This window comes from Homo sapiens, chromosome 19 (genome assembly GCF_000001405.40).
Source record: "Homo sapiens chromosome 19, GRCh38.p14 Primary Assembly".
Taxonomy (NCBI): Eukaryota; Metazoa; Chordata; class Mammalia; order Primates; family Hominidae; genus Homo; species Homo sapiens.
This window is the reverse complement of record NC_000019.10, coordinates 31,060,554-31,074,669: the sequence shown is the minus strand read 5'-3', so window position 1 is coordinate 31,074,669 and position 14,116 is coordinate 31,060,554. Positions and strand designations below refer to the sequence as shown.

General features: G+C 44.7%; 1 annotated feature.

Annotated features, from left to right (window-relative positions):
• Window positions 12,738–13,008: a silencer, noted in NCBI's record as "fragment chr19:31552568-31552838 (GRCh37/hg19 assembly coordinates)". NCBI's record gives its function as "represses an EF-1alpha promoter that drives an FKBP-Casp9 reporter gene in an ReSE screen in HepG2 liver carcinoma cells {active_cell/tissue: HepG2}" and the evidence as "EXISTENCE:reporter gene assay evidence [ECO:0000049][PMID:32094911]".

Genomic DNA, 14,116 nt, shown 5'->3' with positions numbered 1-14,116 from the left:
CACTTTTTAAACTTTGCCTTTATACTGCCACAATAGCAAGTATTTTGCTCCAACACACACACACTCACACTCACACAAACACATATGCACACACATGCATGCACATTCACACTCACACAAATTCATGTGCACACATGTGCACACACATGCATCACACACTTGCATGTTCCTTAGCATGGAAAGGTAGTCTGTGGTTGTACATTCCTAGCAGCCAGTGGAATTGTACAGCTGTATATATATTTTTTGTCATCAGTAATCAGTTGCCAAGGAGTTTAATGTGAGGGATCGGGGTATGATGTGGAGGAGAGCATTGTGATAATGCAGCCTGCCTCCTCACTGGGTAAATAAAGGGGCTGTGTACACCCATGCCGACCTCCGTGCCTGATGTCCTATCCCAGAGCTATCTTTGCATTCAGAATATTCATAATACTCTCTTAGTGTGAACAGCAAATATCTGGCTTTGAGGGCAAAAATATATATGCGTGTAAAGGAGAGAAGCAGAGGGAAAAATACATTTTCAAAACAAGGACCAAGTAGAGCCCTCATGGGAAGCCTTTGAGAGGCATGATTAGCATACTTCCGAGGCTTCCCCTGCCCCAGCCGGCCTCTTTTGGCTGCACAGAGAGCATTTCCACCGAGCTGCACTCAGACGGGGGCTCTCCAGCGCCAGTGGATGCTCTAATGTACTGAGAAGTCATAAATATGGAATACGCTGCACCGCTGCTTCCATTTCCTGTATTTCAGGGATATGGGGGAAATTACAGATGGTGGCACAAGTAGTGATTAGAAAGATGGAGAAAGAAGTGTCAAAAAAGAAAAAAGAAGAGATTCTGGGGAAAAAAGAAGAAGAAAAAGAAAGAAACAGAAAAAAAGCCAGGAAAAAAAGAGGGAAGGCAGGAAGGAAGGGAAGAAGGGAGGGAGGAAGGAAGGAGAGAGTGAGGAAGAAGTGGGAAAGGAAGGACGGAGTGGAGAAAGGAGGGAGGAAGGAAGGAGGGAGAAAGAGAAGAAGGAAAAAGGAGAGAGGGAGGAAGAGATGAAGGAAGGAAGAAGAGAGGGAAGGGGCAAAGAAGGAAGGGAAGGAGGGAGAAAGGAAAGAAGAAAGGAAGAAAGGAAAAAGGGAAGGAAGGAGGGAGGGAGCATTTGCTGTTCCTTTAGAACTCATTTTGCATCTGGATACAGCAGAAATACCATTTCCAGGAGAAGGTACTGAAGACAAGCGCCTTCTTCCCATTGGCAGGGGGCAGGAAAGGAGATGGGCTTATCTAGGTGATGATATCCTCTCCTTGGGGAAGGTTCTGGTCTACTCTGGCTGTGGAAAATCAATTGAGTTTGCGCTTTTGGCAAACCCCAACTCCCCAAGAAAATTCTCAAGCTGCCAGCTACCCCACACCCTGCAACAGAGGTATCCCAGAGGCAAATTGTTTTTGAATTTTCTAGTGGGGGATTAGCTTAAGAGGCAGCAGCAGAAAACTATTATTTGCAACCTTGGTGGCCCACCTTAGGGTAGCCCTATTTAGATACCATTAAAAAAAAAAAAAGGAAAAGGCATATGTTTGCAACAGAAAAGCCAAAACAAAGCTGAATAGGTTAATGAAATAGCATCTGAAACATAGCCATATTAGAGTTTTGCCTCTGACCTGCCCACCTTCTTGCCCTCTCCCCCATTTTTGAATCCCCCTGAACTCACTTTTTCTTTTATGCTTTCATTGGGCTTTAATGGTTCCAGAGATGTGGGGTTCATTTTTGCTTTGTGTGCTTTTTTTAAATCTCATCTTTTCTCTTATAATATTCCTCCTCTAACTTGCCCAACGTGATTCATTTCTTTAAGATCTTGTTTTATTTTTAAGTCATCAATTACTCAAACTTTGTGGGCCTATCTATCCTCAGCCATCTGGACTCCATACCTTATTTTAAAGCATGTTCAAATAATGACAACCTTCTTTTCTCAATTAATTTATGGGCTGTGGGGACCATTTTTCATTTGTTATCATGCACTTCCATTTGATCTCTCATATCTTTCTTCTGCATCTGCAACCATGGTGTATAAATCTTCCACCCCGGCATTGTCATGGTGTCCAAGATATATAGGTATAACTTCCTATTAGTTCCACAAAACTGACCTTAATTTCTAAAAATGGTATCAGATGTGAATAAAGTTTGGTAAGATGATTTGTTTTGATTTACTTTGTACCACTTATCTTTGAGTTTTCTTCCTACTTTTCTTTTATCTAATTTAGACAGTAAAGCCTTGCAAGCCGGGTTATGGTTTATCCATTACCTCCCTGCCGACGCTGCTCCTTAGAGAGATAGGGCGGGGAGATTTTTGGCTGTGGATAATAATAATGTGGACCGTGGACATGCTTGAGGTTGGTTTGTGTTGTTTTCTATTTAATGCAAGCTGACCTGCAAGCTTCAATATCTTCTATTCCAAAAATGTGAATATTTTCAAACAGCATGACTATATCAAGTTATTAGATATTGGATCTGAGACTTGCATAATAAAATTAGACATGCAGATCCAAGTATCTTTTCTCTTCTGCTGCTCAGTTGACAAATAGGAGTATGGAAAGACCCAAATCTCTCTCCGATCATTAGGGGAGGCTCGTTTTGGATTTCTGAGGGGCTGTGGCTTACAAAACAGAATCTGTGTATGTGTGTGTGTGTGTGTTTTGTTTTATATAAACAGACTTCCGTCCAAACTAGAGAATGCTAATTAAGCAAAAACCATGGCCAGATGTTTATTAACACATCTCAGGTTCATGGGATTTGGAGACTGTGCAGTTTTCATGAACTAATTTAAAAAGGGAAACACCTTTATACCTTTATTGGAATAATCGCCAATTATAATTGTGGACTTTGCCTATTCTTTTTTGTGCGCGTGAAGTGGGTGGGCGGGGGTCCCTCCTAGTTGAGAGATGAAGAGCCTGCCCACATCCTGGTGCATCTGGCTTCAGCCCACACCCCAGCTTTGGGTGTGGCCTTTCAGCCTGCCCCGCTACCCACCCCCCGACACACACACACACACACACACACTGAGCTCAGTGGAATCGAGAAACACACCCACGTAGACACACAAAATAAACCCTGGGCAGTTTGGTATGCAGCGTCAGTTGGTTTTGGGGTTTTGCCTTTGTTTCCTTTAATCATATTGTGAGTTTACCTTGTGCCCAGCTCCATGAGTACCTATTGGTATGGAGACTATCAGAGAGGACTCTTTGCCAAGCAGTGGAGCGTCTCTGGAATGCCAGCAAGCAGTGAGACAGGAAGAGGGGCTGTCAGACCACAGCATGGTGACTTCACTCTGGGCCCCAGATTCAAACTGTGGAGTAATAAAACTGAATAGCACCATATAAAACTCCGCATTTCATAAGACAAATATTGCTCTATGCATTCCTGTCCCTTGCACTATGTTAACTGTAGGAAGAAATGGAAACAGTTTTAGTGACCCCCTGGGACCTATAAAGGCTATTTCTGAGTCTGAATCTTGCTGTTTAATTTAATCATTTATTATATTAATATTCAAATGGGCTGCATCTTATTAGCTACTGCAAAGATGTTAGTATGTCTGAAATAAATACCTAATTATGCTTTTGAAGAGAGGGGTTCTAAAGACTTTGGTATGTTTGTGCTAATAGAACAGTTCATTTGCAGATTTTTCTGCAGAAATCAGCAGTTTGAGGCTTTTTTTTCTCTCTCTCTCTTTTAAGAAAATAAAAACAAGGATTGAATATCCACTGAGAGGTTTCAATAGCAGGTCCTAGTTCCACCAGCTCCCAAAGAGCCCTGGAATTACGAGGTTTTGTTCTCTGCGCCCGAGTGAGCGTCCATCCCGGAATGACCAGCACTTTCAGCTCAATAACACATTAATACAATTAACTGTTTTAATCAAATGACCATGAAATTAAATATGTTCCTGTTGGAAGAAAAAAAAAGGATATCCTCTTGGAAATATATTTTTTGAGTCCAACATGCTAATATATTTCTTAACATGACTGTTTCATTATTTTCCGTTTGCGTCTCATCTCATTTCTCTCTCTCTCTCTCTCTCTCTCAATGTTTCTTTCTCTCTCTCTCTCAATTCCCAGTGCAAAATCAAAATCGTATGTAGGTCATTGATTTTTACATCCACAGACAATGGACACCAGCAACTTGCAGAAATCAGACCGTGCCATTTGGAGAGAGTGCACAAAACATAACGCCACATATACTCTGGGGTGGGGGGAGTGGGGGCCCAGGAACCTGCAACTCGGTCTGTGTTGAGGCCAGAGTCTGGCAGGCTCCATACGGAGTCCATTTTCCTAATGCTGAGCATTAGCTTCATGAGGATGGATTATGCTGCTGGCGTAATATACACAAACGGTGATGATAAATTGTAAACTAAATGTATACACTGCAATTGGAGCAGTGGAGAAATTAGTGGTAAGTGCAGAAGTTACAGTCTGAGAAACTGGGAATTACACATTACTATCTTTCTAAAGTAACTGCCACTGGATCCACGATCACTCTTATTTTTTATTTTCTAAGATGGCTAAAATGGTATGTCTACTAATACCCACTTATCTGCTTCACTTTTTTTTTTTTTTTCAGATGAATGTTAAAGCCAAAGGTTAAAGTCCTAAGTAAGTGGCCAAGACTGCTCCCATTGACAGGGATGGTCTCAGTTCCCCCCGGTTGACCTCCATTTAACCTTTAAATTGACCTTGAATGAGTTTATTTTCCTTCTCTTCACATGGATGGCAGTCCCATGGGAGGGGACCCTCTTTTCCTGGGTGGATAATTACATTGTGGCTTTCAACTGCACTGCACTTGGTGTCAACCCTTGTTGTATTGACGCACCTCCTTCCTGGGCACTGCCCACACACAGCCTGTGTGCTGCCGCTGTGCATGCCATGCCATCCCCTTCCTTCTCTTCTGCATACCTTTCCCTGCACACCTGCTGGGTATCAGGTCCAGGTAAGCATTGTGGCACCTAAGGCCTCTGCCCTCAGAGAGGTTTCTTTCTAGCCCATTTGTCCCAACTGTTGAATTTCATCAGGAGCATGCCACAGTAGAGAATCAGTGACTGCTGTGGCAGTACCCAAGCATGACAACGGAGCCTGTTATTGAAGGAAGACAGCCTGGAGGAGGTGACAAGGGTCTCTTGTGCCAGCCACTGTGCTTGGTGCTGCACTAATCTGTCATCTCAAGTCCTCCTGGCCAGGTGGGATAATGGGTGGTTTGGTTCTCTGTCTTCTCCACGAGACAGCTGGCCTGAGGCTCAAATGGCAGGAGAGGTTCCTGAACAGGACAGGGAGAGGCCATTGTGGGAGGGCAGAGCTCTGGCCCTGGTCCCCTCACTCCCGTTCTCCACAGAGACCTAAAGGAATCATGAGTCCTGTGTAAAAGAATTCATACTTAACTTACCTGGCCAAGGAAGGCTGCTGCGAAAGGCTGTGATGCAAACCCATCAGGGTGCTCTGAGACACCACAGCGGGGCCAGGGGCTAGAGACCCAAGGAGAAGAGGAAATTCACAAGCACTGGCTGGTCTGCACCATTTCCCTAAACCTTAGGCCCAGAGACAGAGCACCTCCTGGGCATGAGTTTCTCAAGGCTGTCTGTAGGACCCCGCATCTCCTATGGAAGATAGATTCCTGGGCAAAGTCAGGTGGACAGAGGAACCGAGAAGGCCCAGGGGGCCTAGGGGCTGAGGCTGCCAGGGGAGGAGGAGGAAGGTGAGGTTTCTGTTCCAGAGGGTTCCAGGGACTTCTGGAGGGTTCCAGAGTGCACACACCAGGGTGTTCCTCCTTGTTCCTGGTGGCATTAATGGTCTGCCTGTCTCTGGCTACGGGAGAAGGCCACAGGGGCCTGTACGTCCCAAAAATTTCCCTCTAGGGTGGGAGAAGGAAGGCACCCACCAGTCCAAGCATCCAGAACAGAATAAAAGGTTGAGCCGTCACTGAAGCAACCCATGGGGTTAATCGGCTCATTTCATTCATGGGGTTAACTGGTTTATCTCATGCTTGTTATGTTTGTGTCTTCCCATCACATGCAACTCCGCTCAGAAGTCCTCCTCACACCAGCCTGCCTTAATTTCCCCATGTGAAGTAGCCCTCCTTCAACTCTCCATCCCATCACACAGAGACATCTGAAATGTCTTGTTCATTCGTTTACTTGTTTATTTTCATCTCCCTCCCATCCCCCACCCTGAATTCAAGTCCTTCAAAATAAAAGCCAGGACTGCTATAGTATTTCACAAAATGAAAATGCAGGCCCTCTTGTTCAAAAATTGTTACGAATTTCATGAATGTTACGAATGTGATGGTGACATTAGAGCAGTAAACCAGGGAAAGGCCCTTTTAAGTGCAGGATTCTGATTGAGGACACAGATAGCACGGATTGGTGACCTCCTGGAAAGGACCCGTCCAGCCCCAACTAGGTCACCACCGGGCCCAGAACAGTGCCTAGCAGACAGCGAATGCTCAATGCACACTGAAGAATGGACGGTGCAGCCGCCGCCACCCCGTAGGGTGGCACTCTTCTTTTCACCATTACCAGAAGAGACCAGGCATCTCCTGGTGTGAGGCAGGGTGATTGAATGAATGAATGAACAAAGGAAATATCTGAAGCATAATCGGGCTTAGAGAAGGGAGAGATTATTTCCATTGCACAAGATGAGACAGGGCTTCAGGGAGGAAGGGGAGCTCTATTTTTGACAATACGTATATTTAAATAGGGGAGGAGTGGGCATTCCAGCCAGAGGCAGAAAGTGTGGAACTGTGGGGCCCCATCTGTGTTCCGGGAGCACCACTGGGATGTAATGTGGGGTACGTACGAGAATGCAGTGTGAAATGCCCTGGTGTTGGAGGCCTCCCTCTTTTCCTCTCCAGTTTGAGCTGGGACTTCCCTTGGAGATCTTCCCCACAGCAGCCAGGCAGTCAGGCAGCCAGGTAAGTCCACGGGTGGGACCAGGGCTCGTAGATTCCCAGCTGGCCCCAAAGCAGGGCTTTGGATGCCAGAGGGAGTGAGGTTAGGATTTGGCAAAGAGAAATTGATTGTCTTAGGCTCAAGGACGTCCTCGTTTTCTCGGAGAGTGAGGTGTCCTAGAGAGCCGGCTCAGTGTGGCCGGCCAATACCCGGCCTCTGTGGCTGTCATTCATTCATTCATTACTCATGGAGGTAGGTGTATGATGGAAAAGCCTGTACTATGTGCAAGTTATTTTAAGGGTTTCCAAAAAAGTTAAAACAATGATTTTGCAACTGAGGAAGCCACAGTCCATGAGGATGAGTGTTACAAAGACAACAAGAAGCAAGCAGCACCAGAGAGAGCTGCCGATGTTGGGCTGCGGCGGTCGAGAGGAGTGAGGCCCTGAAGGCTGCCATCAGGGAAAGCCTCTGGTCTGCTGGAAAGGCTTCCTGAACATCTCCAAGTCCAGGTCAGGGATGGCCTCAGAGTCTGCTCTAGGGGCCTGGCTCTCTGGACCACTGTCCTGTCGGGGGGTCCTCCATACTCAGTTTCCAAATGGGTCCTTCCAACAAGAAGAGTGGCACTCCTCTCCCCAGAGATGATCCTGCCGACCGGAAGCACTACCACTGGGGATTATTAGGCACTAGCAGAGGAAGCAAACAGCAGGGGCAGAGGCTTGGGAGGGGGATATCGGAAGACCAGTCCCCAGAAATTAGCTCCAATTTCTGTTGGGTTTTGCAGCCAGATTCTTTACGTTCAAGTTCATTATTACAGCCTGTCTTTTATTTTTATTTTTTCTGCTTTCCTCCCTTCTCCTCAAGACCAGATTAGATCCTCATCGAAAGTCTAGGGGGTTGGGGAGAGCATTTATGGAGATCAGCCTGTGTTTCGGGCACCAGCGGTTAACCGGGTAATATACACTTCTATTACCCTCCATGCAGTCCTCGGAGGATCAATGCGAGGGGTTTAACCACCACACAACGGAAAAACATATATTCCTGCTGCCTTGGAGCAGCCATCGGGAGCCTGTGTATATGTTTCCCTCATTATTTGGATGTGCCGTTTGAATGTTGTGATCAGTGATTCAGTGCACATGATTCATCAGGAAGGCATTTGCTCGGCAGACATGTGAGGAGCTGTCTGCCTCTTCAATCTCACTGACAGGGCAAAAATGCTGATTTATAGTAAATCATTAAAATCTGCTTATTATGGCACGGCTTGTTCCTCTTCCCCACTTCAAGCCCGCAACTTGATCTGCATCGTTTCTCTTACAATTTTATACTACAGCAAGCAGTTATTTAAACAAGAGGGTAAGGCTCCTTAGTCTTTATTAGTGCATATGAAAGGATATTTTGTTTAAAGAAGACTAATTAAGAATGCAGACGATTTTCTTGCTCCGTGTAGGGAGGAAAAATATAAAGATTTAAAATGTCGAAGCAGAACAAAGAATTACTGTACTAAAACAATACTTAAGAATGATGATTTAGTACCCATTTTAAATAGCCATAAAATATCAGTTCACATGTTGACAAAATTATTGGGGAGGCAGGGGCTTGGGGGCTGGTCTCCTTGAGTTTGGGTTAGAGGGAGGCCATGAAGATCTCTAATAGAAATGAATACAACCAGAGAATAATGCTATTATTGTGTTCAACTCCAATATTGTGACAAAGGTTACATTGCTTTAAAAATTGTGGGTAAAGTTTTGTTGTTTAAAGGGAGAAGATTTCAGATTTGGTGGAAGCATAATATGAGAATATGTTGCATGCCAGGTAAACAAAGAAATAACACAAAGAGGTCTACATTTTGTATGTTTTACTTACAGTAAAAAAAAAAAAATTAATTTGATGCCTGGGGACAAAAATTCTTGCCACTGAATTACAAAGAAGTGAATAAACTGACTCAAAATTAATCCATACAGATCTGTCCCCTTAATAAGACTAATTCCAGAGAACAAAGCAAAGCATAATGCATTTTAAATTAAGTTGGAAAATGCATAATTTATATTTGTTTTATTTCTTCATATTTTAACACAGGTGCGTTCCAGAATGCTAAGAACCAAAGGAGAAGGGCATGCTTCTGTCCATGGCTTTTTACTTTTTAAAACTGAAGGATCTAATATTTCTCCTCTTGTTCTCAGGAAGTGATAGCAGTATTAGACAGAAAAGATGAATGTAGCGAGAAAGAATAAAGTGAGTATGTTTGGTTAAAATTAATTTTTAGGGCTTCTAATTTCTGATGTGAAATTCAGCAACAGTTAAAAACACATACACACACCACTTTCATCTGGATGAAAATCATGTTTTCCTTTGGTCTCAAGAGGTAGATTTAAGAGAAGCTGGGTGGGGTAGAAGAGCTCGGCTGGAGGGACTGCAGTGGCTCCACAGATGAGTGAAGGACCCTCATCCTGCCCACCTGGCCCAAGCAGGGCTGATGGGCAGAGGAAGATGGCCCAGGGCACAGCAGGGAGATGGCCTTATTTCCTTATGCCTTTTGGCTACCTTGAAAACAGCCTTCTTGTCTCCCAAACCAGAACCCCTTGCTTCACTCCCCTTTCTTTTCTAGTCTCTAACCTCATCCCTAACATACCTCAGCTTGGTTCCCTCCCATCATTTCTATGACATACAAAATGTATCCAACTTAGCTTCACTCAAGGGCTCATTTCAGCTTAACTCATTTTAAACGGTGTGTTTCTGTTTGGTTTTGTTTGAAAATCACAAACTAGACACAGCCTAGCTATGACTATTAAAATCAAATTGAATGCCTTAAAATTATTCTTTAACATAAATTGCTCTTTGGAGAGACCTGTGCTAATGATTAAATTGTAAGGAAAATTTAGAGGAAAATAGAACGGGTATCTACTTAGCTACTGAGCACCTACAAGGGAAGAGACACGGAGCCAAGAGGTCTGCAGCTGTTATCTCATCTGTCTGTAACCAAGTCCTGCAAGCCGGGGCAGAATCACAGTCCTGTGGTGGGAGGGGAGGGTACCGAGCAAGTTACTGAGCGCCTCCAAGCCCCAGAGTAGAAATCTGACTCAGGTCTGTCTGAGCCCATATTGGCAACCATCATTCATTATGAGCTCTAAAACCTGGACAGAAACCAAGTCCACTCTTCAAGCTCATGTGCGCTCTGATGGTCTATAACCACCCGGTACTTCCTAGCTGTGAAGACTGTAGGATTGACGCATTCTTTGTAAAGCAGAACCGATGTGGTCACAGGACATGGACCACTAACTTGCCAATAACTCTTTAGATGGTGAAACCATCACACTGATTTTTCTTTTTTTTACTTTCTTTTTTTTTTTTTTTTTTTTTTTTTGCTTTTGGGGCTTAGTTCTGGCTTTTGGGGCTTAGTTCTGATTTTTTTTTCTTCCATGGAGTAGATCAGTACTTCTCTCATTTGCATCCAGAGAAGAAGATACTGTTTAAGGCACTGACTTCCAACCTGCTAAAACTTGCCTTCCTTTTGGAAGGTCGAATGGGATGCTACTTAAAATAGGGTATTCCAGCTGGTTAGGTTTGGAGTTCAGATATACAAAAGTCAATGATACACTAGGTGCATTTTTATTCATGCCAAACTTGATACTTGATAGATTTATTTGGATCAAGTCCCGATTTTCTTTCCTACTTTTTTGTGGCAGATACCAGGTTGATTGTTGCTGGATAAAGCCGGCCTGGTGCCTTCTGGGCTTGCTAAGTCACCTTGCCATCACAGTGCCTCCCTTCCACCTTGTCTCTGTGGCATCAGGGATTTACTCAGTTTACAGTCTTGCGTCTGTGTCCTCCCCATCACTTCTTCCCTAATTGTAGGAGAGAGTCAGGGAGGCAGGGGGTTCTCAAATAGGGAAGAGATATATTCTTCCAGAGACAATGAGCACACATTAGGATCTAGCCTTTCTTAGCGTTTAGCAGCTGATTTTCTGCTGTGGTCAAATTTTGGCTTTGTTTTTGCTTGTAGCCTTGTGATCCTTCTGTTTTACGCTCTTGCATGATCTTCCCATGTCTTGGTGACCAAGCTCTTTCTAGCCCGAATCAGCATGGAGAACAAGCAGAGGATGGACTTCTGCAGCATCTTCTGCAAGATGTGAGGACTGCAATATTCCCATTCACGCATGAACCACAGCTGCTCTCCCTAGGTGAGCCACAGATGGACGTGCAGGTCACAGCCCAGCCCACTGTATGGCTTTGCCTGGACCTAGAACTCACTCCCTATTCCTGTCCTGGCAGGTCCCCTGACCTCTGGAGAAGGCTACTAGCATAGCACTGACCCAACTTCACCAAGACATCAAACGACAAAAGAAGGAAACAAGACGTGGGTGTCATTACTGCAAGTCCCATTGAGGTAAAACTCCAGTGGCACTGCATCTTTGGTGGCTGTCTGTCTAGTCCACTTTCTGGGCCCTTCCTCTGCTTTACCCCAGGTGCCCAGTGCCTTCAGCTTCCTGCCTTAGGTCAGAGGGAGACATCTGATGCCAGACCCATCCACACATTTTGATTACAATGACGCCTTCCTGGGGTCCTTGCACCCTGAAAAGTGATCTTGAGAAAGAGCTGTAATGAAACGGTGGCAAGGAACCCTATGGAAGAATTTGATCTAGCATGGTAGCCATGGAAAGATGGATATTTGTGACTACAAACACTATTAAGAAATATTATGCCATGGACAGCTTACTCCAAAGAGAGACAGACCGAAGCCAGCTTCCAGTTCTGTGGTTAGTGGGTGTATGAGTCCGTTTTCATGCTGCTGATAAAGACATACCTGAGACTGGGTAATTTATAAAGAAAAAGAGGTTTAATGGGTTCACAATTCCACTTGACTACAGAGGTCTCAATCATGGCAGAAGGTGGAAGTCATGTCTTACATGGTGGCAGGGAAGAGAGAAGTGAGAACGAAGTGAAAGGGGGAGACCCCTTATTAAACAATGAGATTTCATGAGGTTTATTCACTACCACGAAAACAGTATGGGGGAAACTGCCCCCATTATTCAATTATCCCCCACTAGGTCCCTCCCACACAACACATGGGAATTATGAGAGCTACAGTTCAATATGAGATTTGGGTGGGGACACAGTCAAACCATATCAATGGGTTAAGTGAAACTGAACATTTTTTTTTTACACCCTTGAGACTCATTTTCCATATTTAAAGCAGAGATGAAGAGATGTTATGTCTTTTGTGAACATTCTGGTCCACTGTTGTTTTTATTTCCATCATTTGAAAACTATTCCCCCTCCCCACCATCCCACCTCCCTCCTTTAGCTGCAGAGTCTCCTCAAACCCTCTCGCTGAAAGAGTTGTTGGCATCTTCTGTTGGGGCTGTCTTTCTTCTCAGTCACGCCCTACAGTGCCTGGGTCATCCTGGGATGCCTCCTGACTTCGCCATCCTCCTGAAATGCCTTGAGCATGGTCTGCTTTCATCCTTGCCTGTTTCTCTAGAGAGCTCGCCACCGTTGGCAGTTTTCTTCTTTTATGAACATGCCTCCCTCTGCCATCCACACCACCACCTCTCCTTGCTCACCATTGTGTGTTGCTGCCTCCAGACTGTGAACTTGACCCTGCTCACTTAGCAATCTGCACACAGAACTGTTCCTCTCTCTCTCTTTTTTTTTTTTTTTTGTGTGTGTGTGTGTGACCAAGTCTCCCTTTGTCACCAACGCTGGAGTACAGGGGCACAATCATGGCTCACTACAGCCTCAAAGGCCAGGTTCAAGAGAATCTCCTGCCTTAGTCTCCCAAGTAGCCAGGATCAGAGGTGCGTGCCACCCCAACTCACACCTGACTAACAGTTTTTTGTTTGTTTGTTTGTTTGTTTTGAGATGGAGCCTCGCTCTGTCACCCAGGCTGGAGTGCAGTGGTGTGATCTCACCTCACTGCAACTTCGACCTCCCGGGTCCACACCATTCTCCTGCCGCAGCCTCCCGAGTAGCTGGGACTACAGGCACTTGCCACCACACCTGGCTAATTTTTTGTATTTTTAGTGGAGATGGGGTTTCACTGTGTTAGCCAGAATGGTCTCTATCTCCTGACCTCGTGATCTGCCCTCCTCAGCCTCCCAAAGTGCTGGGATTACAAGCATGAGCCACTGCACCTGGCCTAACAATGTTTTAAAAAGTATTATTTGTAGAGGTGAGTCTTCTTAAGATGAGTCTCCCTGTGTTGCCCAGGCTGGTCTTGAACTCCTGGGCTCAAGCAATCCTCCCACTTCCACCTCCCAAAGGGCTGGGATCTCAGGCATGAGCCACTGTGTCTGGCTGTTTTTCTCTATTCAATCTCACTGATTCTCATGGACTTAAACTACCCTCTAAATCAAAGGTTATCTCTTAGGAGGTTTCTTGAAAAATCTGATAAAAGTTGTAGACCTTCTCCTCAAAAAAAGGTATAGAATTTTGCACCACTCCTCAAGGAGTAGACTCCTTGAGGGCCTAATAGAATGATGTCAACAATGACAATGATAATAACTAACACTGACTCCCTGAAGCTTCTATAATAACAGAATATTATTGCTGCAGCAACAGCAACAACAATAACAATAACAATAACTGAGCTTTATTAATGTCTCAAAAGCTACACAACAACAACAATAACTAATGCTTCCTTACTGAGCAGGAAGTACAGTGAATGGAGACAGAACTGGGCCCCATCTCCACATGGTTGTTGAGACTTCCTCCCACAGACCTTAATATCATGGATCAGTGTATTAGTTCATTCTCATGCTGCTAATAAAGACATACCCAAGACTGGGTAATTTATAAAAGAAAGAGGTTTAATGGACTCACCATTCCACATGGCTGGGGAGGTCTCACAATCATGGTGGAAGGTGAAGGAGGAGCAAAGGCACATCTTACATGGTGGCAGGCAAGAGAGCATATGCAGGGGAACTCCCGTTTATAAAACCATCAGATCTAGTGAGGCTTATTCACTGTCATGAGAATAGCATAGGAAAGACCCACCCCCGTGATTCAATTATCTCCCACCAGGTATCTCCCACAACACATGGGAATTATGGAAGCTACAATTCGAGATGAGATTTGAGTGGGGACACTGCTAAACCATATCAGTCAGTAAGCCAGGCTTCTAAGCCTGTTGAAATGTCTGTCCCTCTCTCTGTGAATATCCTATTTCCAGTGCCATCATGTTACTGCAAATGACAAGATGTCATTCTTTTTTATGGC